This window comes from Homo sapiens, chromosome 3 (genome assembly GCF_000001405.40).
Source record: "Homo sapiens chromosome 3, GRCh38.p14 Primary Assembly".
Lineage (NCBI taxonomy): Eukaryota > Metazoa > Chordata > Mammalia > Primates > Hominidae > Homo > Homo sapiens.
The window spans coordinates 53998205-54024941 of NC_000003.12; the positions used below are offsets into that span (position 1 = coordinate 53998205).

Genomic DNA, 26737 nt, shown 5'->3' on the forward strand with positions numbered 1-26737 from the left:
TTATTGGTATTTGTGTCCATATCTTCACTCCCCTGCTCAGTTGTGAATTTACTGGGAGTAGACACATACTTGCATATGCTTTATCAACAGTGAATTCCCCAGTGGCATGAGTAGGTGGAATTCTTATTTTAAGAATATGATTTTTAAAACAGAGTTTTAAAATAATTTTATAATAAGAATTTTCACACAGACTGCATGGTTTGATGATTCTGAGATGGAGAATACAGGCTCATCTATATCTTCAATAATTTGTAGGAGGAAAAGATGGATATTTTATCCATGAAATGGTTTTCTTAGTTCATTATATTTGTTTACTGTTCCTGGAGGCATATGTAAGATTTAAAGACACGCACACACACACACACACACACACACACACACACACACCCTTGAAAGGGGTGGAGGGTCATCCCACTGTGCCCTTGTGGGAGGGGAACAGATGTGTCTCCAGTTCCAGCACTGAGTCAAAGGTTTGCAATTCCCAGAGGGCTGGGGATCATGGATCTCAGGGGATGAGCTTGGTGGCAGGGGTCTGCTGGTGCTTAGAGGCTGGAACCACTTTGGAGAAGGAAGGTTCGGCTGTGGCCTTCGTTGACCAGCGGGACCTTTCTGATGCACTTCCGGAAATAGGAGCACAAGGGGATGCAGAGATGGTCCCTATTTCCTTTCTGTATTTATTTTGGTATTAGATGAATTTGAATTTGTCTGAGGACCCTTCAACTTGGTTTTTAGCTTAGCCCTTTTGGACCCAAACAGTCTGTGAAAATTTTATTTTGTACATGACTTTACATAAAGAATTACGGGCATTTCATTGGCATTTCATGGAAGACCATTGCTGCAGAAGAGATACCTAACTTTTTTGAAGTTGCACATTTGTTTTGTCAATTCCTTAGACAGGGAGCATATAAAGCACAGGTCAGCTGCTCAGGGCCTGGAGCCAGACCAGTTTTGGAGTAGGGCCCTGTCACACACTAGCTGTGGGAGAGGCCAGTTTCCCATGAAGCTGATGACAATTAAACTCCAGGGTTTCTCCCTTCATAGGCTCCTTCCAAGGCTCTGGGAGGGACCCTAGCCCTGTGACCAATGCAGTCGGGGAATTGTGACTACTCTCTCTTTCTACTCTGACTTCTTCTTGGTCTCTCTCTGCCTTGTGTAGGGTGGCACTGGAATGCCCAAAGGCATTTTGAGGATCTGGCTAGGGAGCAGTTGAGTGGGGAATATGTGGCTCTAACTGCAATTCGGAAAGTCATTCTGAAATGTGTCAATAAAACAAGTGAAAACATTACAGCTTCTGATTTGAACATAGGTGAATGGTACATTTTAAATGGTCACCTTTAAACTTATTAAAGAACTGACAGAAAATTCATATAAAGATAGAAACATGAAATAGAAATGACGGAGGTGAGCAATAAAATCGCTAGACACCGAGGAGGCTTCGAACAAACACTTTTCAGATCATATCAAACTCACTCAATCATTAACAGAAAGGTAAATTTTATCCATTCATTTGCAGCCAGAGAAAATAGTGACTAAAAATGATGAAGACGCTCCTGGAGTTTTAATAATCCAGCTAGTGATGAGGAGTGAATCACATGAACACACTGGGAAAAAACAAATTTCTTGCTTATTTGACGCAAGACAAAGGTAACATGAAATTCATATTAAGTCATTATAATGAGGAGGTCTGTTCACAACAAACAGCTTAATGAATGTTGTCAACTCAGCAATATTGATTTAAGGTTCATCATTGACAGGTAAGCTTGAAATGCCCTGAAATCTTGCAGCTCAGATATGAAAGAAACTTGATAGAGCTTTCCCCAAATTTGACAACAACCCTAAGGATTTATCTACTGTCATCTGTAATGAGTCACGAAGCTGAAAATAATAAAGACAAAATTTGATCAATCACACTATGGGAAAGAAATTCTTATTCTGTTTTCTTTGTAGAAAAAGTACGCAGCCAACAAATGTAAGAAAAAATATGATAGATATATGTCAGGTAGATGATGAAAATCACTGTTATCACTGTCATTTTTCCAGATTTTATGATATTTGTAATACTTTTACATTTGTAATTTGTTGCAATTTCTTTCCCCACTGTAAATAATCACTTACATATCTAAATTTGTACTTGTAGTTTTATATTCTTTTCCTTAAAGCAGGCATCTTGAAATTGTATAAGTTTTAAGCCCCACAAAACCTGGTTCTGCCCTACAGCTACATGACCCTGAAGAAGTGATGTGCATGTTCTGAATGTCAGTTTCCTCATGGCAGACTGGGCTTGATACAGATCTCTGATTCTTAGTTAAGGGTTTTAAATGAGAGAACGAAGAAGAAGTGTTTAGCACAGAAGATGTGGGGGAACACTCCGTTAGAATCATCCATTTATTAACTCAGTAGGCATGGATTAAGCACCAAAACGTTCAGGCATTGCAGCTTCAGCAAAGAACACGATGGAGAAAGTTCCTGCCCTTGAGAAGCTTATGTTCTGGTTTATTCTAATTATTATGGTTGTTTAGCACTCTCACTTTAGGCTGTCTTTGGGCTCCTAAAAGTGCTGCTGGCTCCTTACCTTTTCAAATTGAATGAGTAAAATTAATTGGTTTTGAAAATTCTGTGCCACCTTTTGAATGTGTGGTCTTCCCTGTAATGTTGCAGAGACAGAGCTGGAAACGATGGCTCAATGTCCACTAGAGTCCTGCAGGAGAGTGAGGTTGGCATTCACAGTTTGTAATTTGGCATTCTGAGTGGTTGGTGGCACAGGTGGAGCAGCTCAGCATGGAGCTCATCACAGGTCCTTGAAAGGGGCCTGTTGAGTGGCCCTGGGAACTTCAGAATAGCAGAGTCCTTATGGAACCAGGACACAGAGATTACTCACTTCTCTATGGGTTACCTATCCTCATAGGTGCTGGAGTAACGCATCAGTTTGGAAATACCATTTTCTGCATGAGTAGCTTCTCAAAGCATAGCTTTCTTTCTTTCTTTCTTTCTTTTTTTTGAGACGGAGTCTCACTGTCACCCAGGCTGGAGTGCATTGGCGCGATCTCGGCTCACTGCAGGCTCTGCCCCCCGGGGTTCACGCCATTCTCCTGCCTCAGCCTCCTGAATAGCTGGGACTACAGGCGCCTGCCACCTCGCCAGTCTAATTTTTTGTATTTTTAGTAGAGACGGGGTTTCACTGTGTTAGCCAGGATGGTCTCGATCTCCTGACCTCGTGATCTGCCCGCCTCAGCCTCCCAAAGTGCTGGGATTACAGGCGTGAGCCACCGCGCCCGGCCAGCATAGCTTTCTTAAAGCTGGAGAGGAGTCAGGAAGGGAGAGTGCACACATGATTCTGAGGACCAGTGGGTTGGTTTTCCATTTAGACCCTCTGAGTCCAAGCATCTGCTGAAATTTATTTATAGGTTTACAGAAAGGGTCTTGGTTATGCTACAGCAGAAGCCCAGTGTGCTGGCTTTGGTCCAGTTTTGGAAAGCTGATATATTTGACTCTTTTTGTTTTATTTTAGGAGCATGCTGTACTGGTAGAATCAAATAAGGAAGGAGTGATTTGTGAGCACAATGCTATTTTTTAATTTTTAATTTTTTTGAGTGTGGGTAACTTGGTTGGAGGTCTGATAATCGCTTGGTCATTTAGAACAGCTACATTCAGTTATTAAAATCTCAGATCTAGAGAATCTATTTATTATCTTCTTGTGCTGTGAATCTGTTTTTGACATGTAAATAGATTGCAAGTTCTGGAATGACTTGTCCTGTAGAACTCCAGATATAGTCTGTGAGCCCTTTTAGGCCAGAGACCTCATCTGCTAAGTCCTAGGAATCAGCACAGTGCCTGGCACTTAGCAGGTGCTCAATAAATATTTATTGAATGAATGAATGAATAGAAGATGAGTGAATGAAGGAAGGATCATATAAGTTAACAGCGTTTCCAAGGTGAAGAAGGAGGCCTCTTCTTCCGAAATAAATTCATATGGTATTCATTTAAGGCATGCTAAAGAAGACTCAGTTAAATAAAGTTTACTTCAAAAATAAATGTTGTGCTTTGAGAATAAACCTTTTCCTATGTTGAGACAGAATAAAGTGATTTGCCACTCTAGAGGCATAACTCAAAATGGGAAACATGTAAATATGTGTCAAGGTAACTAAGCTGTTTGCTAGGAGTCAGCATAGACCCATGAGTTATCCCGCGGGATTTAAGTTAGAGAACCTGGGCTCCAAACCCAGCTCTGGCACACACTGGCTGAGTGGTCTTGACTAAGAAATGGAAGCTCTCTGAGTTTTCTCATCTATATAATGGGAATAATAATAATGACTTCTTCATAGAGTTGTTGGAAAGATTGAATAAGATAATGCTTGGCACAAAGTAAGTGCTCAGTAAGGATTTCTCCTCCCCACCTCCTTCCCTTCCTTTCCTTCCTGTTCCTCCTCTTTTCCCTCCTGCTAATTAATCTGGGAATTGGCGATTGCTCTTGCTCATTTCCACAGCTGATCTCCAGGAAGCAAATTAGAGTCTGGGAATGACTGGGGAACTTTCTGTAGGCCACTGTTCAGCTCAACCTGGCAGTAACATCTTTGCATGCCTTTGACTGTTCAGAAAGGAAATACATAAAGATTCTCATCTCGTGATTTTACAAGAGTCTGCTACTTACAATTTTGCTCATTTAATTAATGACTATCCCCTTCCTATACCCACTCTCACCGTAAGTTGAATTTCACCAGCATTTCAAGTCCTCTGGGATTGCTCTGTGCTCCTTTTACTTCTTGGCATGCAAACCACTTTTGTTTTCCTTTTAAGAGATTTAACTGGGCTGGGTGAGAAACTGACATCGAAGACAGTTTCCTATGGACTTGGGCCTTGAAGGTGACTGATGTTTTAAAAGCTATTAGTGATATAGAGAAGCCAAGCAAAACTCGCCCTTCAGGAGAGGTCCCCACGACTCTCTAAAGCACGCCTATCTTTTAACTCCTCCATGATAATTCAAGGTCGAGCTCATCCGTGGTGGTGGCTCGATTTTGCTCTTTTTGTACATTATTTATGTAATATGCGGGTTGTGAGGGAGTGTGGATGTGGATGATTCATAGGCAGGAGTGGTTAGAAACAGATTGCAGAAGCCCAGCTCCTCTTACTTGGGTGTCCCCCACCACCCCCAAGCTGCTTCATCTGCTGCCCCCTGCATGCCCTCCAGCGGCTACCGGGGCTAAATGCGGCCCTCAGGACTCCCCCAGGCAGCAACCCTGTGGAGCAGCAGGGCACATGGGCCCTTTAGAGGCCCTCCACCTGCAACAGATCCTGGGGACACACCCACCTCCCAAGATGTAACTCTCATAAAAAAAAAAAAACCTAAACCATAAAATAGCATAAGGGATTCTAAAAAAGTTATGATGACTACTTCAGTGCTTATTTTTTGAAATACCAAGTTTTTAAAAAAGTTTCTCATTTTTGTGTTGCTGCCCCTGCTTTTCTAGGATATGCCTGGCACCTGTGCTTAGCCTATTTATTGGGTAGCCCAGTGACCAGCAGGCAGGCTGCTTTCTTCTCATGGCTAAACTGTAGAGGAAGCTTTCTCAACTTTTTATAAGTTTCATCCCAATCAGGAGACCTGCCTTCAGGGGACACCCAAGACTCTCTGTTGTATTGGGGAAGAGCCCTGACTGTGGAGTTAAACAGGCTTGGTTAGGAGATGCATTAGTTCTGTGTATCGGTTATCTATTGTGAACATGATGCTGTGGAATAAAACTCACCAGCACCTCCATGGCATACACAGCATTTGTTATTCACACTTCAGGGGTGTCTAGGCAGCTCTGTTGATCTTGAGTGAGCTTCCTCACATATCTGGGGGTGATGGGGTGTCTGGACTCTGGGCTACATAGCTCATCCTCCAGCAGGCTAGCCTGAGCATGCTCTCAAGTGAATATAGGCCCAGCCACATAAATACTTTTTAAGCCTGTTTGCAGCACATTTGCTAACATCTCAGTGACCAAAGCAAGTCACATGGCCAAACCCAGAGTTGAAGTGGATGTACACATTACATGAGAAAGAGCTTGGAAACATGGAGGAGTGAAGAATTGGGGTCATTTTTGTAATCTATTATACTGTGTGGGCTTGGGAAAGTTAACTGAACTCTTTGAGCCCCACTTTTCCCTTCTCTTGGAAAAGGTCTCCTGATCTCTAGCCATCAAGTGTGTGTGAGGATCAAATAAGAGAATTTGATTAGACGGGTATGATTCATGGTTGTTTAAGCTTACAAAATTGCTGTGAAACTGATATTAACCACGTTTCCAGGCTAAGGGAAGTAAATGGATACCCCTTTGGTTGGTTTCTTCATTTGAAGATTAGATACTGTATTAGTCACGGTTCTCCAGGGAAACAGAATCAACAGGGTGTATATCTATATGAGAAATTTATTTTAAGAAATTGGCTCATGTGATTGGTGGGTCCAAAATCCCATGGGGCAGGCCAGCAGGCGACTATGGAAGAGTTGCAATTCAAGTTCAAAGGCAGAATTCCTGGCGGAATTCCTTTTTGCTCAGTAGAGGTCAATCTTCATTATTAATAGACCTTTAACTGATTGGATGAGGCCCACTCATATTATGGAGGGCAATCTGCTTTACTCAAAATTGACCTATTTAAATGTTAATTTCATCCAACACCCTCACACAAACATCCAGAATAATGTTTGATCAAATATCTGGGCACCGTGGCCCAGCCAAGTTGATGCACAAAATTAATCAACACAAGTACTATGGGCTCAGCTCTATAATTAATTATTAATTCAACAAATATTTATTGAGTGCCTACTTGTACCTGGCACTATGTTTATCCATCAGAGTATAGCAGTTAACGTGCTGTCAACCCTGCCTTCAAAGCACTTACATTCTAGTAAGAGATAATGAAGCAGCTAACAACAAAGCCTGCCAAATGCTGCGAGAGCTGCCATTTGTGGCGTGTACTTCCTGAATGAAGCTTCCTGCATACATCACCTCACTTAATGCCCACAAACGAACCATTAGGTAGGCATCGTCATCCCTGCTTTGCAAATGAGGTTTGGAGAGATTAAGTGAGCTCTCTGGAGGTCAAATAGCTCATAAGTGGCAGCGCCAGGACTGAGTTCACATCTGCCTGATGCCCAGGCCCGGGCTGTTGGTAGCTCCACTGTCACTCACACCCTTGTCTGTGGCCTCTCACAGACAGAAGAGCAGAGAAGCTAGAGGATTGTGGGAGCCTGAGGTCAACCTAGAGGTGGACCATCAGAAGCTGGGGATGGCATCTCTGCTGCTCCCTGTGAGAGACACGTGCCCTTCTGCCCCTGCTGGCCAGTTTGCTTTGCTACTTTGAGCCTCTGGGATGTGGGTGGCAAACAGGCCACCAACATTATTGTGGAGTCTGAAAGTCCATCTTGGTAAACAACCTCTCAGTATTCTCATCTTTGAAAGGGACAAATGAGTGTGTGTCTCTGTGTAGGTAGCGAGAGGGAGGATTTGAGTCCTTTCCAGGAAAGTCACCTCTTCATTCATTCTGCCCAGAGACATGCTCTGGGTGAGTGTGTGTAAAGACACACATATGTAATATTTTCAGACTTTATCATACTTCCAAGCAGCTCATGGGGGGGTGCAGATGGAACTGTATGCTAATGGGTGTGGGGGAAGCGTGCTACCCACATAAGGATTGCTCCTAAGTATGTTTAAAGCAACCTATCCGCTAAGGGGCTTCTCTCCTTAGCAGTTAGCTCTGGGAAGAACACGGCTATGCACACATTCGCCGTTGGCCTGGGGTATGCTGGCCAAAAAGCATGGCCTGGCCCACAGATGAGGAACCTGTGGAGGCGGGGGAGAAGGGGGCGCTTTATGTAAGTGGTTTTTAGACAGATGGAGGATTCATTTTAATTGCATAAAAGGCAGTCTTTCTTGAGTGGAGATGTAGGTCCTTTTGCAAACCTGTGCTAGACAAATCTTTGCTGCTGCTGCTTTTCTAAACACCCCTCTATTTCCATGAGAATTGCTCCTTAGTGTGTCGAGTTCTAACTGGGCCATTTGCCTGCTCAACCTTCCCCTCACTCAGGGTAAGTTCATCCCAGTCGTGATGCTGCCATCTGAAGAATTGTTTGAGTTGTTGGCCTTTTTTTTTTGTTTGTTTGTTTTGAGATGGAGCCTAGTTGTGTCACCCAGGCTGGAGTGCAGTGGCATGATCTCAGCTCACTGCAATCTCCGCCTCCCAGGTTGAAGCAATTCTCCTGCCTCAGCCTTCTGAGTAGCTGGGATTACAGGTGTCTGCTACCATGCCTGGCTAATTTTTGTATTTTTAGTAGAGACAGGTTTTCACCATGTTGGTCAGGTTGGTCTCAAACTCCTGGCCTCAAGGGATCTGCCCGCCTTGGGATTACAGGCAAGAGCCACTGCACCCAGCCAGCTTTTTCTCTTTTTTTTTTTTTTTTTTTTGAGACAAGGTCTCTCTCTGTCACCCAGGCTGGAGTGCATTGGTGCGATCATGGCTCACTGCAGCCTCGACCTCCCCCCTCAGCCTCCAGACTTGCTGAGACTACCATGCCTGGCTAATTTTTTTATTTTTTGTAGGGATGGGGTCTCGCTATGTTGCCCAGGCTGGTCTCAAACTCTTGGGCTCAAGTAATCCTTCCACTGTGACCTCCCAAATTGCTGAGATTATGGGCGTGAGCCACCTTGTTTGGCCTGCCATCTGAAGAGTTTTTTTTTTTTGAAACGGAGTCTGGCTGTTGCCCAGGCTGGAGTGCAGTGGCGCGATCTCGGCTCACTGCAGGCTCCGCCCCCCGGGGTTCACGCCATTCTCCTGCCTCAGCCTCCCGCCTAGCTGGAACTACAGGCGCCCACCACCTCGCCCGGCTAACTTTTTGTATTTTTAATAGAGACGGGGTTTCACCATGTTAGCCAGGATGGTCTTGATCTCCTGACCTCGTGATCCGCCCGCCTCGGCCTCCCAAAGTGCTGGGATTACAGGGGTGAGCCACCACGCCCGGCCAAGTTTTAAGCCAAGTTGTAACTGAACCGTGGTTTTGAGAAATGGATAGGTGGGTGTTTACAACACGGGACATTGGGAAGAGGGAACAAAACAGGTTCAGAGAAGTTGTTTTCAAGTTGTGCATGAATGGATGGTCCAACTTCAGGGAACCTATTGAGTTCTGAATCTTTGCCCCGTTAAAGTCCACAGTCCACCCTGTTAGAGTCCATTGGGAGAAGGCCCAAGTTCTCCCAGAGTAAACACCCTTGAGACAGGAGCCTGGTGTCCAGCATCTCCCTCTTCAGAGCTCATGCTGCAACCACCGTTAGTGGCCCATAGCTCAGGGACCTGGGTGGGCCAGGAGGCTGGCTTCCTAGATATGCGTTGGGCTGAATACGCTGAGTGTAACAAGAAAAACATCAGGTTGGATCACTGGTTTCTGTGCAGCTATAATCAAGGTGAAATTACTTATCCTGTTTATTTTATCAGTGACAAGTGAGTAAAACCTGATCTTCTCCAGCAGGAAGCTGGAGCTCCAGCAATGCAAGCTCATTGCTCTGCAGAATGAGCTTTTCCCAAGAAAGAACAAGAGTTTGCTGTGCAGTTCAGGGAGACCCTTTGACAAGGCTGTTCTGAACTGGTGGAAGGAAGTTCAGTTCAGGTATTGGTTCTTGTAAGGACCGTGCCAATTTTGTTAATCTCTGTATAGCTGGTGTTCTTTATTGAGAAGCACACAATCAATGTTTGTTAGCTAAATGAATGACTGTATTGAGACCAGCCAGAGTAGAGGCACCCTCGACCAAGAGAATCCTCACCCACTGTAAACCATATAGTACATGAAACCCAGCTCTCGTGTAGGTTGCTCAGGACAACTCTCTCAGGGAAAAAGAAGGGACGCAGGATCTTCTCAGACTTTGTCTCTCCACCCCGCAAGTCACAGACATCTGAAGAGCAGAGATTTCCTTCTCTGGCCTGTCCATCTTCACCCTTTACCACGTATCTCTCTTCCTTGGCACTTTTGTCTTCTCCCGTAAGTAGCATGTTTTATCATCTCTATGCCTTTGCATGTGTCATCACCCCTGCCTGGAATGCCTGCCCACTCATCTGGTGGAGTCTCACTCAGCCTACAGGCAAAGATCTCACGCTTCTGGACAGGCAGTCCTGTGTGGAGCTGGATCCTCAGCCTCAGGGGCCAGCCTGCCTGGATTTCCGTCTTGAGGCATTTAGGACTTACCATTTGGGACTGTGGCAAGTTGCCCAAGTCACCTAATAATTCCGGACCTTGATTTTTCATCTGGCAAATAGGAATTACAAGTAGGACCCAAATCAGAGGATTGTTCTAAGGGCTGAATTAGTGAATATGCACAAAGTACATGGAACAGAGCCTGGAACACAGCCCTTAGGACCCACCGGCCACCTCTACGTTGCAATTCCCTTCTCTTCTGCACCCCTGTCAGAGCTGTTTTCACCTTTGTCTCCCCGAACCACTTTGCTCTCATCTCTTTCCAACTCAGCACCTTGGCTGCTCCCCTCACTGATTCAACAACTGCCAGGGGTTTCCCCATTCTCACACAATTACATTCAAGCTCCTTAGCAGAATTCAAGGTGTTCCATTTTGCAGGCCAAATTTGACAACATATTTTCCCTGCTACTTCCCTACCCACAGCTGATGTCCCTGCCTGAATGCACTCTGTCTGTGCCCTCTTACCTCCTGGCTCTGTCCGGCTCTGGCCATTCCATGGCTCTGTCCTTCCCCCACCTCTGCCTGCTCAGGCTTCTGCCCCTGGGGGAGGGAAGCGCATGCAGCCTGGGTGGGCCTTCCTCCACAGGCAGGCTTCTAATACTCTCAGCTGAGTTCTGAAGGTCAGTCTCTGCACTCACATGCAGAAAGGTAGCACAGTCCTGGGATCACATTCCAAGGTACATTGTATGTTGCAGCAAAATGAAACCCATTAGCTTATAGAAGGTTAATGTTCCATTGCCACCCAAAGTGCCCTGATTTGCTTACCTCTTTGTGATGTTGGTTTTCTTACACTGAATTTGGTTTCTTCAGGGACCAACCTCAGTCATCTTGAGGAATTCTAATTTAGAAAATATGAAGGCAACTGTGAATGCTATAGAATGGGTCACTGCATCTTATTGTCCCTAAATACGCATAGCTTTAAAAAATCATCAGTTAATGTTTCCTATGTAGCAGAAAATGTGTATCACATAATGTTGGAGGAAAAAAGTCAGAACGCAAAATTGCATTTACAATATGACAATAACTATGTAGGAAGCATGTGGGTCAGGATAGAATAGCTATAGACTAAGAAAATAGCTTTATTTGTTGGAGAAATGGGATTATAGACAACTTTATTCTTCCTTTTACTATTGTTATGTTAATATCACTGCTATTATGTAAAATACAAACATCAATTATATTAGTAGTTATCATGTATGGTATCATATTAATAATATGATAAACACATACTCATTCTGAGTCCTTGATCTCTGCATTATCTCATTTAATCTTCCAGCATGACTGTGAGGTGGGGACGTTCACCTCTGGTTATGGATGAGAGAGTAGTCACCCAAAGTGTCACAACCACTAGGGGCCTTCCACAACACCAAGATTCCTCCCCTCTAAACCTATACTCAACCATTGCTGCTTGGTTATTAAAACAAAACCAGGCTGGGCGCAGTAGCTCACGCCTGTAATCCCAACACTTTGGGAGGCTGAGGCGGGTGAATCACCCGAGACCAGGAGTTCGAGACCAGCCTGGCCAACCAGGGGAAACCATGTCTCTATTAAAAATACAAAACCTAGCTGCACTTGGTGGTGTGCGCCTGTAATCCCAGCTACTCGGGAGACTGAAGTAGGAGAATCGCTTGAACCCGGGTGATGGAGGTTGCAGTGAGCCGAGATCGCGCCACTGCACTCCAGTCTGGGTGACAGAGCAAGACTCCATCTGAAAAAAAAAAAAATTTAAATAAACAAAACAAAACAGCTTTTCATGAACCAGCAATCTAAGCGTAAGAAAAAATAGAGACTACTGAGAAGGAAAAAACTTTAAAATAAAAAATAGCCCATAATGTTCACCCCCAAGACAAACCACTGTCAACCCTTTGGACATGTCTTCCAGAATGTTACATGTCTTCCAAGGCATTTTCTCTCACTTGCTTCCACTTTTTTTTTCGAGATGGAGCCTTGCTCTGTTGCCTAGGCTGGAGAGCAGTGGCACGATCTTGGCTCACTGCAACCTCTTTCTCCTGGGTTTGAGCGATTCTCCTGCCTCTGCCTCCTGAAGTAGCCGGGATTACAGACGTGTGCCATTATGCCTGGCTCATTTTTGTATTTTTAGTAGAGATGGGGTTTCACCATGTTGGCCAGGCTGGTCTTGAACTCCTGACCTTAAGTGATCCGCCCACCTCATCCTCCCAAAGTGCTGGGATTACAGGCGTGAGCCACCGCACCTGGCCACCTCCACTTATTCTTAAACCTTAATCTGGAGTCTAGAGCCTAGAAAAGTCATGAAATTACTGTTGGCTGGAAGAATTTTCTCTTGTGAAACCTGAGATAAGAATGACAGGAATTGGAGTTTTGAATGGAATGCACTGATCCCACTGACAGAATTAGGCGGGCTAAAGGGAAACCTTGTGCCCTAGCGGCTGTTCTAATTCTCACACTTCAATGGCTTTGGAGAGTCGACATATTCCAAGAACACTTGAAAATCTTCTTTAACTAAAAAATTGAGCTTTCAAACACCTTATGCATATCTGGAACAAAAAATAAAGACCATGTCATCACAAAAGCTCTATAAAATTATAAAACAATTCGGTACTCAAAGACTTATGGTTTTCCTGCAATGTCAGTGGTATCAGGAGATAATCCAGACATTCCTAATATTTTCATTTGGTTCAAATATTTAATGAAGTTCATTTAGAAAGAATGTCTTTATTAGTTTAGGAGTGATTGCAGTCTTCCTTGGGCATTGAGTTCTGTTATACAGACATAACTTTATGAAGGGTTTGTGTGATGTGAATGCAACTGAGCCGGTCGTGATTTATCCTTTATTCATTCATGTATTCATTTATTAATTCGTCCAGTAAATATGTGTTGAAAAACAATCATATGAATATCTTTCTAAGTGCATTTGTTATAAAATCATAGTCAAGGGCATTGCCTATTATGTATATCAATGTTCTATGTATAAAGTCCGTGTGAAAAATTTCTTTTAGAATTAAGTTCCATAAAAATGCTTTAGCTCACTTGAGTTACACCAAGCCCTCTCCTTTCTGATAATAGCCACTTATTCTTGTGTTTCCCATTTTGCCCCGACTGCCAGGAAACTCAGGGATACTCTTTATGCTCAATCATAAGCATCATTTTAAACTCATGGTTGGTTTATTTGTCTCTTTCTCCTTTTATGGCCCTGATTTTCTGCTTTACAACCTTAGTATGTATCTATTCCTTTGACAGCCTGCCTCAATTATTTCTGGAAAAAGTTCATGGGGAGGGGGGCAAAAATTCAAGGCACAGCCCTGGACATCCTCATCAAACACCTATCAGTTGAAACTAGATAGCGGGGGGCCAGGGAAGGTGCATAACATTTTGAATGTACTAAATGCCTCACGTTAAAATGGCTAATTTAAGTAAGGTTAATTTTGCTTCAACACAAATTTTTGAAAACAAAGCCTATCAGTGATCAACTGACTTTGATGATGATGACTGATATGATTTGGTTGTGTCCCCACCCAAATCTCATCTTGAAGTGTAGCTCCCATAATTCCCATGTGTTATGGGAGGGATCCGGTGGGAAACAACTGAATCATGGGGGTGGTTCCCCCATACTATTCTCATGGTAGTGAATAAGTGTCATGGGATCTGATGGTTTTATAAGGGGAAAGCTCTTTCGCTTGGCTCTTATTCTCTCTTGTCTGCCACCATGTGAGACGTGCCTTTCACCTTCTGCCATGATTGTGAGGCCTTCCCAGCCACATGGAACTATGAGTCCATTAAACCTCTTTTTCTTTATAAATTACTAATACAATGAGATAGTAACGACTAGACTCTAGTAGAAGACAGAGTGCTTTCTGTGATTGCCAATAGGAACAATGGGAAAGTCCTCCAGGGAACTGGCCTCACTGCTGTCTAAGGGCAATGATCAACATTGGCAAGGTTTACAAGGCAGTCACACAGCTGGGTTCAAGAACTCCCTTCCCCATCTCCAACCTCTCTTCAGTCATCTTAAAAAAGAAAACAACAAAAGCTTTATTATTTTTAATTACATAGGCAGAAATGTTCATTGTGGAAGAATCGGCAACATGATAATAATAATAAAGTCATAAAAATCACCCATAATAGCCAACTCGAGTCACTGTTGACATTTTGTGCTTGCCTTCTAGACTTCTGTATTGCTCTATCAAGATATGCATTCAGTCATCCATTTCTCTGTCTTTTCTAAAGGGTGGTCCCCAGAACACTGGTCTCAGGGTTAAGTAAGTTTAGAAATGAGGCACCCTAGCACCTCCTCTTGGAGATTCATGGTGTACACTGGCATATTAAAAGATTTGAGAAATTTAAGAGACAAGAAGCTCATTTCACTCTCATTAATCTAGAGTTTTTCCAACATACTTGAGCATTAAATTCTTATTTTTTCTTTTCTTTCCTCTTTTTTTTTTTTTTTGAGATAGGGTCCCTCTCTGTCACCCAGGCTGGAGTGCAGTGGTGTGATCATAGCTGACCACAGCCCTCGATCTCCTAGGACTAAGGATTCCTCTACACCTCAGCCTCCCAAGTAGCTGGGGCTACAAGTGCATGCCACCATGCCCAGATAATTTTTTAAATTTTTTGTAGAGATGGAGTCTTGCTATGTTGCCCCAGGTCTTGAACTCCTGGCCCCAAGTGATCTTCCCTCCTTGGCCTCCCAAAGTGTTGGGATTACAGTTGTGAGCCACTGTACCCAGCACCTTATTTTCTATAACTCAAGAAAGTAATGCAATGTTCCGTGAAAGCTGACTGAATTAAGTCCTAGGTCATATTTACTCTGCATAGCCATACTAGATTACTTGAATTGCTTCTACTGTGTAAATATCTATGTCAGTTACATTTTTCCTGAAATGTAATGACTGCATAGAATTCTATTGTGTTGGTGTTCCATGGCTTGTGAAACCAAAACCCTATTGCTGGGAGTCTGGATTTTTCCCATATTTGGGTCTCGTAGTGGGCATTGTTGCAGTGGAGGCATTGTCCACCTCCTAAAACATCTCATCATATGAAGCTTGGTTTTCCTGGGGAGTACCGTCTGCATAGATTCCCCATGAGTGGTTTTTGTTTATTTGTTTTTGTTTTCCTTTTTCCCCCTCTAGTTTAAGGGGCCTGTTAGGAACACTATGAAAAGAGAGGAAAGGCAAACATTTCGTAAGATTAGAAGGGAAGAAAGGAGGGATAGGCTGGGTGCAGTGGCTCATGCCTATCATCTGTGGGAACAGAGACCCTTCCAGGAGGCCAACCCCCAACTTTAGGTCACAGTGAGCCTTCCACTCATCATAAGGTAAGTTACTCAGAACAGGAAAAAATAACACTTGGAAGCAATAAATATAAATGAATTCAATGAAAAACAGTTTGGCCAATGATATTATCTGGGAGTTAGAGAAATATTTCTGCTTTCCCCTCTGGTAGCTGAGAGAGCAAATAGCCCTAATAGAGACCAGCAAATAACAGCAATAAAAACTAAAGCCAGTTTGCAAGACTGAAGAGAGATGTCAGCTCCAAGAAGGGAAAGAGAAAGAACTGGAAGTGGAGCAAAGCAAAGAAATGTAGGCTTAAGCCTATGAGGCACAGGTGGGATTTTTACATTAAGCACATGAGAGACTACAGGGGAAAAGCAGACCAGCTTTATTTTTTTATGACAGGATCAATAGAATCTAATCAAGTTTTGAATGCAATCAGGGTAAGATGAGAAATACCAAGTAGGTCCTCGTAGGCAGTAACTAGAACATAATGGTGTCCGGAAGGGATTCCCAGAGTGATGTTCCACATTTCCCTCCAAGCCTGGCTGGGGAGGGAGACTCTGAAATTAAGGAGGGGTGATGTGGTGGTTTCAGATTCGTGTCCCCAGAGTTTTAATGCCCTGTTTTGTGATGATTTTTTCTTCTCTGTAGCACTCCCTTGGGACTAGGCTTTTGGCTAAAAAAGGAAATGAAAGAGAGATGTCCTTCTGGAGGAAGTAGTGAAGAATGTCACAGGCCACTTCTGGGAGGCAAGGGATCAGAAAAGAGGTGCTCCACTGGGAGGTTATGAGGACTGGGGGCTCTAAAGGGGTGGGGGTTAAACTCATTTATAATTGCCATGCACACACTGCCCAAGTCACCCCATGTACAAATAATCCAAGCAAAAACAGACTGCTTGTCATGCAAATACAGCTTCAAGGTACCCAAACAGACATGCCGGTACAATCTCTGTAGCCTTTAAACAGGTGCCCCTCTTTTTTTTTCCTTTAGAGATGGAGTCTTGCTCTGTTGCCCAGGCTAAAGCAAAGGGGGTACGACCATATCTCACTGCAGCCTCAAGCTCCTGGGCTCAAGTGATCCTCCTAATTCAGCCTCCCAAGTAGCTGGGACTACAGGTGTGGGTGTGTACTACCACTCCCAGCTAATTAAAAACAGCTTTTTTTTTTTTTTTTTTTTTTTTTTTTTTTTTAGTGATAGGGTCTTGCTATACTGCCCAGGCTAGTCTCAAACCCCTGGCCTCAAGAAATCCTTTGGCCTTGGCCTCCGAATGTGCTGGGATTATAGGTGTGAGCCACCTCACCTGGCCCTGGGCGCCCCTCTTAAGAATTCCCATGTAGGGATTCTGGAGCCACAGCTGGAAGGTGGTTATGATTTGAGTTCATTGATTGTACAAGGAACACAAGAAAACGTGCAATACCACTTATAGACACTGGTGATGTGCCTGATTTGGTGCCAGATCCTGGAGAGACCATGTGGGTTGGAAGCCAATCCTTGCCCTTGGGGAACCCACTCAGAGTCTAAGTGGGTGACATAGACATAGTCAATAATGCAACACAGTCAAATCAGCTGCGAAGGGAGGCTGGGGCCATGAGAGTCAGAGGAGGCTGTTACTAACTTTGACTGGAGCATGGGTCAGGGAAAGGAAGCAGAGATAACGAGTGATTATGATTTCTACATTGATTTCAACCTGATGTTGGTCTCAGGCCACACAACTCCCTGAGGGAGGTATTGTGACTTCAGGCATATAGTAATTGCTCAAGAAACTTCTGTGAATGTTTGGGTGAATGAATAAATGAATGTCTCCAGTGAAGAAACTGGGACTCAGAGAAGAAATAACTTGCTTGAGGTCATGGGACTCAGAGACAGCAAAGCTAAACTTTAGAACTAAGAGCCTTACTCTCTTTCTATCACATGCAGCATTTGCTGGATGGTGGAGTGGGAAGAGCTAGAAAGAGACAGCTAAGAGGACAATGTAATAGAAACCAACAAAGAAGAGAGAATCAGATGTCTATTTCCTTCTCATATGGGCAAATTCATATTAGACAGTGAGCACACAGATAATTTCTAATAATATCAGTCTTTAAAAACAAAACTAAAAAAACTATGGTACTCTCTCTTCACTCTCCAGTATCTAAACGGGTAGTTCTGGTGCTATAATCTAAATTAGCTCCTTAAAAATATTCTCTTTTCAGCCCACCTTGTTTGGATATTTGATTTAGAAACAACTAATGAAGTCCATTTGCCATATGGGTAAGTGAACTTTTTTTTAAAGTAGGTGTTTTACATCCCTGTAACTCTAGAAGCTGTTGTCATAGTAACATTTTCCTCTTCGAGTTGCAGAATGAACAGTCCATGGAACCAATGACAATGTAGGTCACGAGTGAAAAGGGGTCTGGTGGCATTGCTTCAGTGCCCAGTTTGGCATAGCTGGGATTATTAATACTGCAGGCTCCAGAGGGGCTCACACTCCTTGGTTAGAATGTTCTGTTCTAGGACTGAGTCCAAAGAGGAGATGTGTGGGCAGGGGAGGGGAGAAGGGGGAAAGCAGAAGGTAAGAAAACGGTGAGGGGAGGCTGGCAGGAGCTGTCCTGCATGGAGATTCAGAATGGTCTGTCCCCGCTTGTGGCTGTGGGGAGGTAGGTGTGGAGTGCTGGAGCTCAACGTTGTTCCTGATGCATAATGGGAATTGGCACCCCCTGCAGTCCAGAATCCATTTGGAGTTGATTTGGGAAGGCCCACATCAATTATCAATATAAAAGTTTTGACTACTGGACATGTCACCATTATATACAGCCTGGAAATGTGTTTTAAAATTTTCATTCATTCATTCATGTAGCACACATTTACCAGCTCCTCCTCTGCACCAGGTGCTGAGCTGGCCATGGCTGGCTTCCTTGGGTGCAACCCATGGGCATGCACATCCCCTGTGCTCAGAAGGACCTTGCTCTTGGTTTAATGCTCTGCTGTTGCGATCTTGTACTTGTTCTTGAATCAGGAGCCCCACATTTTCATGTTGTACTGGGTCTTGCATTAAAGGCACAATGTTCAGCAAAGCCAGACCCAATCCCCGCTTTCCTGAATCTTATGGTGCAGTGGGAGAGACAGACAGAAACCCAAGCATGATGCAAATAAATGGAGAATTACAACTGTGATCTGTACCATAAGGAGAGGTAGAGGTATGTAATGCCAGGAGAGAAGATAGGCCATCATTTTACAGCTCTATGGCTTGACCTGACTATATTCAGAATAGTGGAGGTGGAGCGAAATCATAGTAAAAGGGATTTAAATTATTGTGGGCGTTCGTTATCAAAAGTTAGTACCACGGGAGACTAACGAGATTTCTGAGAGAGAATGGCAAAATTTCCCCCTCAAGGTTGTAAAGAATGGGATATCCACCTGTCAAGGAAAGTGCTTTGGTGCAAATCTTTCTCTCTCTCCCTTCCTTCCTCCCTCTGAGTTTTTTTTTTTTTTTAACTTTGATAACTGCAGACTTACAGAAAAGTTGAGAGAATATTCCCACATACCCTTTATCCAGATTTCTCAGATGTAACATTTTACCATGTTATCCTATGTGTATCTGTGTATCTATCTACCTACCTACCTACCGTTTGATCTTAATTGCAGACATGATATAATGCCCCTTTACTGCTGCTATGAACTGAACATTTGTGCCCCTCCCCCACCCATTCCTATGTTGAAATCCTAACCCTGAATGTGATTTAATAAGATGTGGATCTTTATGGGCAAAGATTTCATGATGAAAATGCCAAAAGCAATTGTGACAAAAGCAAAAATTGACAAATGGGATCTAATTAAAGTAAAGAGCTTCTGCACAGCAAAATAAACTATCATCAGAGTGAACAGACAACCTACAGAATGGGAGAAAATTTCCGTAGTCTGTCCATCTAACAAAGGTCTAATATCCAGAGCCTCCACGGAACTTAAATTCACAAGAAAAATTTACAGGAAAAGTTGTACAAGAAAATTTACAAGAGAAAAAAACAACCCCATTAAAAAGCAGGCAACGGACATCAACGGATACTTCTCAGAAGACATTTATGTGGCCAAAAAACATCAAAAAAAGCTCAACATCAGTGATCATTAGAGATATGCAAATCAAAACCACAATGAGATACAATCTCATGCCAGTCAGAATGCCTATTACTAAAAAATGAAAAAACAACAGATGCTGGTGAGGTTGCGGAGGAAAAAACAAAACAAAACAAAACAAAACAAAAAAATGCTTTTACACTGTTGGTGGGAGTGTAAATTAGTTCAACCACTGTGGAAGACAGTGTGGCAATTCCTCAAAGACCTAGAGGGAGAGATACCATTTGATCCAGCAATCTCATTACTGGGTATGTACCCAAAGGAATGTAAATCATTCTATTATAAAGATTATGTTCATTGCAGCACTGTTCACAATAGCAAAAACATGGAATCAACCTAAATGCCCATCAGTCATAGACTGGATTAAGAAAATGTGGTACATATACACCATGGAATACCACGCAGTCATAAAGATGAACAAGATCATGTCCTTTGCAGCGGCATGGATGGAGCTGGAATCCCTTATCCTCAGCAAACTAATGCAGGAACAGAAAACCAAACACCACATGTTCTTGCTTATAAGTGGGAGCTGAACAATGAGAATGCATGGATGCATGTTGGGGGAACCACACACACTGAGGGCCTTCGGGAGTGGGGGTGGGAGAGGGGAGAGTATCAGGAAGAATAGCTAATGGATGCCTGGCTTAATACCGAGGTGATGGGATGATCTGTGCAGAAAACCACCATGGCACACATTTACCTATGTAACAAATCTGCACATCCTGCACATGTAACCCTTGTATTAGTCCGTTTTCATACTGCTATGAAGAAATACTGAGACTGGGTAATTCATAAAGAAAAAGAGGTTTAATGGACTCACAGTTCCACAGTGCTGGAGAGGCCTCACAATCATGTCGCAAGGTGAAGGAGGAGCAAACGCATGTTGCACATGGAGGCAGGCAAGAGCCTGTATGCAGGGGAGCTGCCTTTTATAAAACCATCAGATCTCATGAGACTTATTCACTATCATGAGAACGGCATAGGAAAAACCCACTTCCACGATTCAATTACCTCCCACTGGGTCCCTCCCACAACACGTGGGGATTATGGGAGCCACAATTCAAGGTGAGATTGGGTAGGGACACAACCAAACCATATTATCCCTGAACTTAAAATAAAAGTTGAAGAAAAAAAAAAAGAAGTGTAGCCTTTAGGAGTAATTAGGTCACGTGGGTGGGGCCCTCATGAATGGAATTAGTGCCCTTATAAAAAGACATGGGAGAACTTGCTTCCTCTTTGTTAGCAGTCACATGAGGATACAAGGAGAAGACGGCCCTCTGTGAACCAGGAAGAGGGCCCTAACCAGACCCAACCATGCTGGCATCCTGACCTTGGACTTTCAGGCTCCAGAACTGTGAGAAATAAATTTCTATTGTTTAATCCAGTCTACGATATTTTTGTTATAGCAGCCCAAACTGACTAAGACAGCTATTAAATACTTAAGAGTCTATTTCCCAAAAACAAGATCATTGTCTTACATAACCATAGTAGAGTCATCAAAATCAGAAAATTAACATTTATATATTATTGTCTAATCTACAAATCTTATTCAGATTTTCCTCATTATTTCACTAATTTCTTTATAGCAAAAAGAAAATCTTGTATCACATGTTGCATTCACTTGTTTTGTCTATTTAATGTCCTTTAATTTGGAACAGTCCTTAGCCTTTCTTTGTTTTCCATGACGTTGATATTTTTGAAGCATCCAGGCCAGTTTTTGTTTTTTAAATCAGGTGTATTGAGGTATAATCCACATTCAGTAAAATTCATCTTATTTAGATGTACAGTTGTCTGGCCAGTTATGTTATAGAATGGCCCCACTTTGACTATCTGCTGTTTCCACATGATTAGAGTCAGTCTGCGATTCTTTAGTATAAATATACAGGAGGAATGTTGCATTTTTCTCAGTGCATCATAGCAGGAAATACACACTATTTAATTGTTCCCTTACCATTGATATTAACTTTCATCTTTTTTTTCCCATTGTAATGTTTCTCTTTTATTCCTTTGTAATTTATATGCATCCTATGGGGAGATGCTTGGAGACTGTGTAAATATTCTTTTAGTCCTCAACCTTTTCACCCCCTAGTGTTTTTATCCATTGTGATTCTTGCCTGAAAATTATAGATCTGGTGATTGCCCAGTGGTGATTTTCTGTCATTCCTTTTACATTCATTGTCTATCTTTCTACTGCAAGAAAGACAACTTCTCCTCTAATTAATTAACTAATTAATTGAGTATATAGGCTTATTCATTCCTATTTTACTCTATAGGCTATACTATTTTAGTATCATTATTTATTTTGATGTTAAAATTGTCTCAGATTTGGCCCCTTTAAACCTGCCTCAAATTTGACATGTCCCCATCATTCTGTGAGCCTTTTCTTATTTTCTGGCACAGCAAGATGTTCCAAGTTCATCTTGTACTTTCTGTGCCCCAGCCCTGGACTCAGCCATTTCTCCCAAGGAGGGTGCAATTTTCTGAAGGTGCATATGTTGCCTGAAGTCATCTCAATCTTGAGATTCTTTCCAAATTCGTGGAGTAGAACCAGAAATTGGAAGCTTCCGATGTAAAATTTTATTCAGGATACTTATCAGGTTCTTTTTTTCTCCTTCAGTTGAATTTGAAGCAACATATCAAAATAATTTATACAGTAAAATTTATAAAATAAAGGTTTTCAAAGAGAAAAAAATGGTGACTAAGTGGAGGAAAACAGACATGCCAGCCACAAAAGTTGCCAGCTTGCCCAGAAAAACTTGGCATTCAACATTCTGGCAGCAAAATTAAAGGATGGACTGTGTGGGGAGAAGATGCTCAACAGATCACCTTCAGGGACTCTGACCTGCTGGCAAAGGCAGGCAAGCAGCAAGGAGCTGGGCTTGCACGGCATTGTGGGAATAAAAAGCCTTTCCAGGATGGCCTTCCTACTAGCCGCAAGGGCTGAGCTGCAGAGAGGAAGCAGCGGGGCCAGGATTTTTTTCTTGAAAGCACTTTGGTGTGTTTTCTAGCTTGTGAAACAGCATTCACCTGGGACCCCACAGTTAGAAGGGAATTACCATTTAAGTGCCACATAATTATTCCTGCATGCATGCACTCACTGTCTCACTCAGTAATCTTTGTGGAACACTTTCTAGAAGTGCAGCTACCAGGCCCAGTGGAGGCAAGACCACTAGGATCCAGACTTGGCCACCAGTCCAGCAGCCAAGGAAGCAGGGCTGTGCATGATGTCACACCGGATTAAACACTCAACGTGCTTTGAGACGTGCTATAGGAATTGGGAGACAACTGTGAACCATCTCTTCTACCCAGAGGAATGTTTCATGAAAGGGCTACTGTTTTATAAAAACATGTAAGTTCACATCACAAAAGGGCATCTAAGGGAATTCTGGCCAATGGCCCCTGGAGATGCTTGACTTTCTTCTACTACTGGGCCTCGTGGTGAAGCAGGGGTCAAGTAAAATATGCAAATGAAGGGAGTGCCATATGTGAATAGGCATTCCATAGTTCCTTCATTTATTTGGTGAATATTTATCGAGGCCCCATTGTGTACTTGGCTCTGTGGGAGATCTTGGGTGAGCAAAAATGCCCTCAGTTTCTGCCCTTTGAGCACTTGAAATATAATGGCAAAGACAGATATCAGTCAGATTTATTTTAAAAGTGCGTTATAGACCAGGCATGGTGGCTCACTCCTGTAATCCCAGCATTTTGGGAGGCCAAGGCAGGTGGATCACCTGAGGTCAGGAGTTCGAGACCAGCCTGACCAACATGGTGAAACCCCGTCTCTACGAAAAATACGAAATTAGCCAGGTGTGATGGTGCATACCTGTAATCCCAGCTACTTGGGAGGCTGAGACAGGAGAATCGCTTGAACCCGGGAGGTGGAGGTTGCAGTGAGCCAAGATCCTGGCATTGCACTCCAGCCTGGGCAACAAGAGTAAAACTCTGCCTCCAAAAAAAAAAAAAACCCAGAAAAAAAGGTGTGTTATTGGCCAGGTATGGTGGCTTATGCCTGTAATCCCAGCAGTTTGGGAGGCCAAGGCAGGCAGACCACCTGAGGTCAGGAGTTTGAGACCAGCCTGGCCAATATGGCAAAACTCTGTCTCTACTAAAAATACAAAAAATTAGCTGGGCGTGTTGGTGCACACTTGTAATTCCAGCTACTCGGAGGCAGAGGCACGAGAATTGCTTGAACCCAAGAGGCAGAGGTTGTAGTGAGTTGAGATGGCACCATTTCACTCCAGCCTGGGTGACAGAGCAAAACTCCATCTAAAAAAACTTTTTTAAAAAGTGTGTTATAAGAACTACTCTATATGCTTTCATGAAAGATACTCAGCACTTCCAGGGCAGGATGTTAGGGATGCCTGCCTTGGGAAAATGACAATGAAGCTGAGAACAGAAGGAAGAGTCAGGGTCACTAGATGGGGCAGGATAGACAGAGGGAACAGGGAGTGCAATGCTTTGGAGGAGTCAGGGTACATCCAAAGAGAGACAGGCCCATGTGGTTAAAGAGCAGAAATCAGGGGGAGCATGAAGAAATATGATGAGGCTGGCGAGGTGGGAAGGTCCATGGTGAGGGCTCCTCCAGAGGCACATGGTGGAGAGGTGGTGAGATGAGGGATTGCTGAGCAGATTGTATCAGAAAGCAGGGGATAGAAGTGTGAGCCTAGAGCAATAACTCTAAGAGATAGAGGAGGGATAGGAGATGAAATTATGAAATGATAGGAATGCTGTTGTATTAGTCCATTCTCACACTGCTATAAAGAACTACCAGAGACTGGGTAATTTATAATGAAAAGAGGTTTAATTGGCTCATGGTTCTATGGGCTGTACAGGCTTCTGCTTCTGGGAGGGCCTCAGGAAACTTACAATCATGGTGGAAGGCAAAGGGGAAGGAAGCACATCTTCTCATGGCCAGAAGGAGACAGAGAGAGAGAAGGGAGAAGTGCTACACACTTTTAAACAAACAGCACTAGGGGCATGGTGCTAAACCATTAGAAACTGCCCGCATGATTCAATCACCTCCTGCAGGCTCCTCCTCCAACACTGAGGATTATGATTTGACGTGAGATTTAGGTAGGGACGTGAGATTTAGGTAGGGACACACAGCCAAACCATATCAGGTGGTAACAACAATGAAAAATAGCATCTCCCATTTGTTGAGTGCCCCATTTGACTGAGACCTTACTGATAGAAGACAGGTCAAAGGAGAGACAGGGTGAGGGTTAGGATCTATTCAAACAGCATCAAAAATAACTTAGGGCTTAACAATTCAATTTCTTACTATCTACACTATAGAATCACTTTCATTCATGAGGCAATCCATCCAAAGATGTTCATTGCAGCAATAATTGTAGTCTAAAAATTGGGAACAACATCAATGCCCATCATTATGAGAATTTGTAAATAATCGATGTCACACCCTTTCCATGACACATGTGTGGCAATGGAAGAACAGAATTCTTTCATTGCTCTGTGTGCTGACATGGAAGCTCTCCAAGACATATGGCTAGGCAGAAAACACGAGGCAGGATAATACGTCAGGATGATATCATTGCTGTAAATGGAAAAAAAAGCAGTCCTCAAAAAAATACTATCCCTCACCCCTTGTGAGTACATATATGACACTTAAATGCCCAGAGAAATGTGTAGAAGGCTTCAGAGCAAACTGAAAGCAGTGGTTACCTGGGGAGAGGAAAGAGTCCTGGGGTTAAGATGGTGTCAAGGGGGATTCAGCTTTATCTGTAATGTCTTACTTAGATTACGGAAACTTCCAAACGTACAAAAATAGGACACTGTAATAAACCCCCAAGTACTGTCACCCACACACTCCCTCCTCCTGGATTATTTTTAAGTACATCCCAGACATTGTATTCCATTCATAAATATTTCAGTAAGTCTCACTAACAGATAAGGAAACTTTAAGAAAAACATTATCACAATACCATGATAACAACTAAAAGTATTTAAAATTCCTTAGGATTTCAAACACCCAATCAGTGTTCATATTTCTCTGTCTTAAAATTTCATTTTATTTCTTCAAATCTGGACTCAAATAAGGTCCATGCATTGTAATTGATTGATATGTCTCTTATGTCTTTTGTGCATTTTTGCCTGTGTATCTCTGTTGGGTTGAAGGACTTTGAGTGACTTTGTTGGGTCGAAGGATAAGGGCATGTGTAATTTTGCTAGATGCTATCAAATTTCCCTCCACAGGGTTGTAGTATTCCTCATTCCCATTGGCAGTGGGCGAGAGTGCCCATTTCCCCACAGCTTCACCAACAGACTATGTTGTCAAATTTTTGGATTTTTGCCTATCTGACGGATGAGAAGGGGTATCTCATTTTCATATCTTTAAATTAAATTTCAAAAGAAAATAGACTCAGGAAGAATTCTGAGTCTGTAGAGGAAAAGAACAATTTGCATAGAAATAATAATATTACCAATTACCATCTGGCACGTATATTATCAAGGAATGTAGTGTCATATCACCTTTTTAAAATTTTTTTTTTTTATTTTTTGAGACACGGTCTCATTCTGTCACCCAGGCTGGAGTGAAGTGGTGCTATCACGGCTCACTGTAGTCTCGACCTCCTGGGCTCCGGTGATCCTTCTACCTCAGCCTCCCAAGTATCTGGGACCACAGGCATGCACCACCATGCCTGGCTCATTTTTGTGTTTTTGGAGAGATGAGGTTTCACCATGTTGCCCAGGCTGGTGTTGAGCTCCTAGGCCGTGAGTATCTCCTAGATCCCTTCCTTCTTTCCTACTTGGAGCCAATTTCTTGAACTCCTGGCAATGTCGATCATCTGTCTTAGTAGTTTGCAGGGCAAAGGGAGGGACATCCCAGGACTTTCCTTGCAGGAGGGCTTGGGCCAAGGAGCATGGGCTGGATTTTGCCTGAATGCATGGTGAAATTCACCTGCATACAGAGCTAGTGCCCTATTTTTATAATGTTAGAAAAACATCGTTTTCCTTCCTTTTGTTTTCTTTGAGAAAGATATGAAAATACAATAAGAATGGACTTTAGAAAAAAGGAACCAACTGAGAAACACAAACCTGTCAAACCCAGACTTCTAAATGAACGTCCTTCTGTCAAACACCTTTTGATTACTGAGATATTGCTTTGCACATTTTATTATCCACAAAAAAAGATCTGGTTTTA

The 26737-nt window shown here is 43.0% G+C and overlaps 1 long non-coding RNA gene across 4 annotated transcripts in view; it reads right to left on the reverse strand.

Annotated features, from left to right (window-relative positions):
- Positions 1 to 26737, reverse strand: part of LOC105377095 (uncharacterized) — a 48956-nt gene that overhangs the window by 11940 nt on the left and 10279 nt on the right. For 2 of the 4 annotated variants that reach the window (XR_001740708.2, XR_940849.3), the window contains 3 exons: positions 10979 to 11051; positions 10679 to 10872; positions 9935 to 10264 (listed from right to left, as the gene is read on the reverse strand). This is a non-coding gene — a long non-coding RNA (uncharacterized LOC105377095). Of the gene's footprint in view, positions 1 to 9934; positions 10265 to 10678; positions 10873 to 10978; positions 11052 to 26737 lie in introns of those variants that run through there. The other 2 variants (XR_940848.3, XR_940850.3) reach the window with 1 other exon arrangement.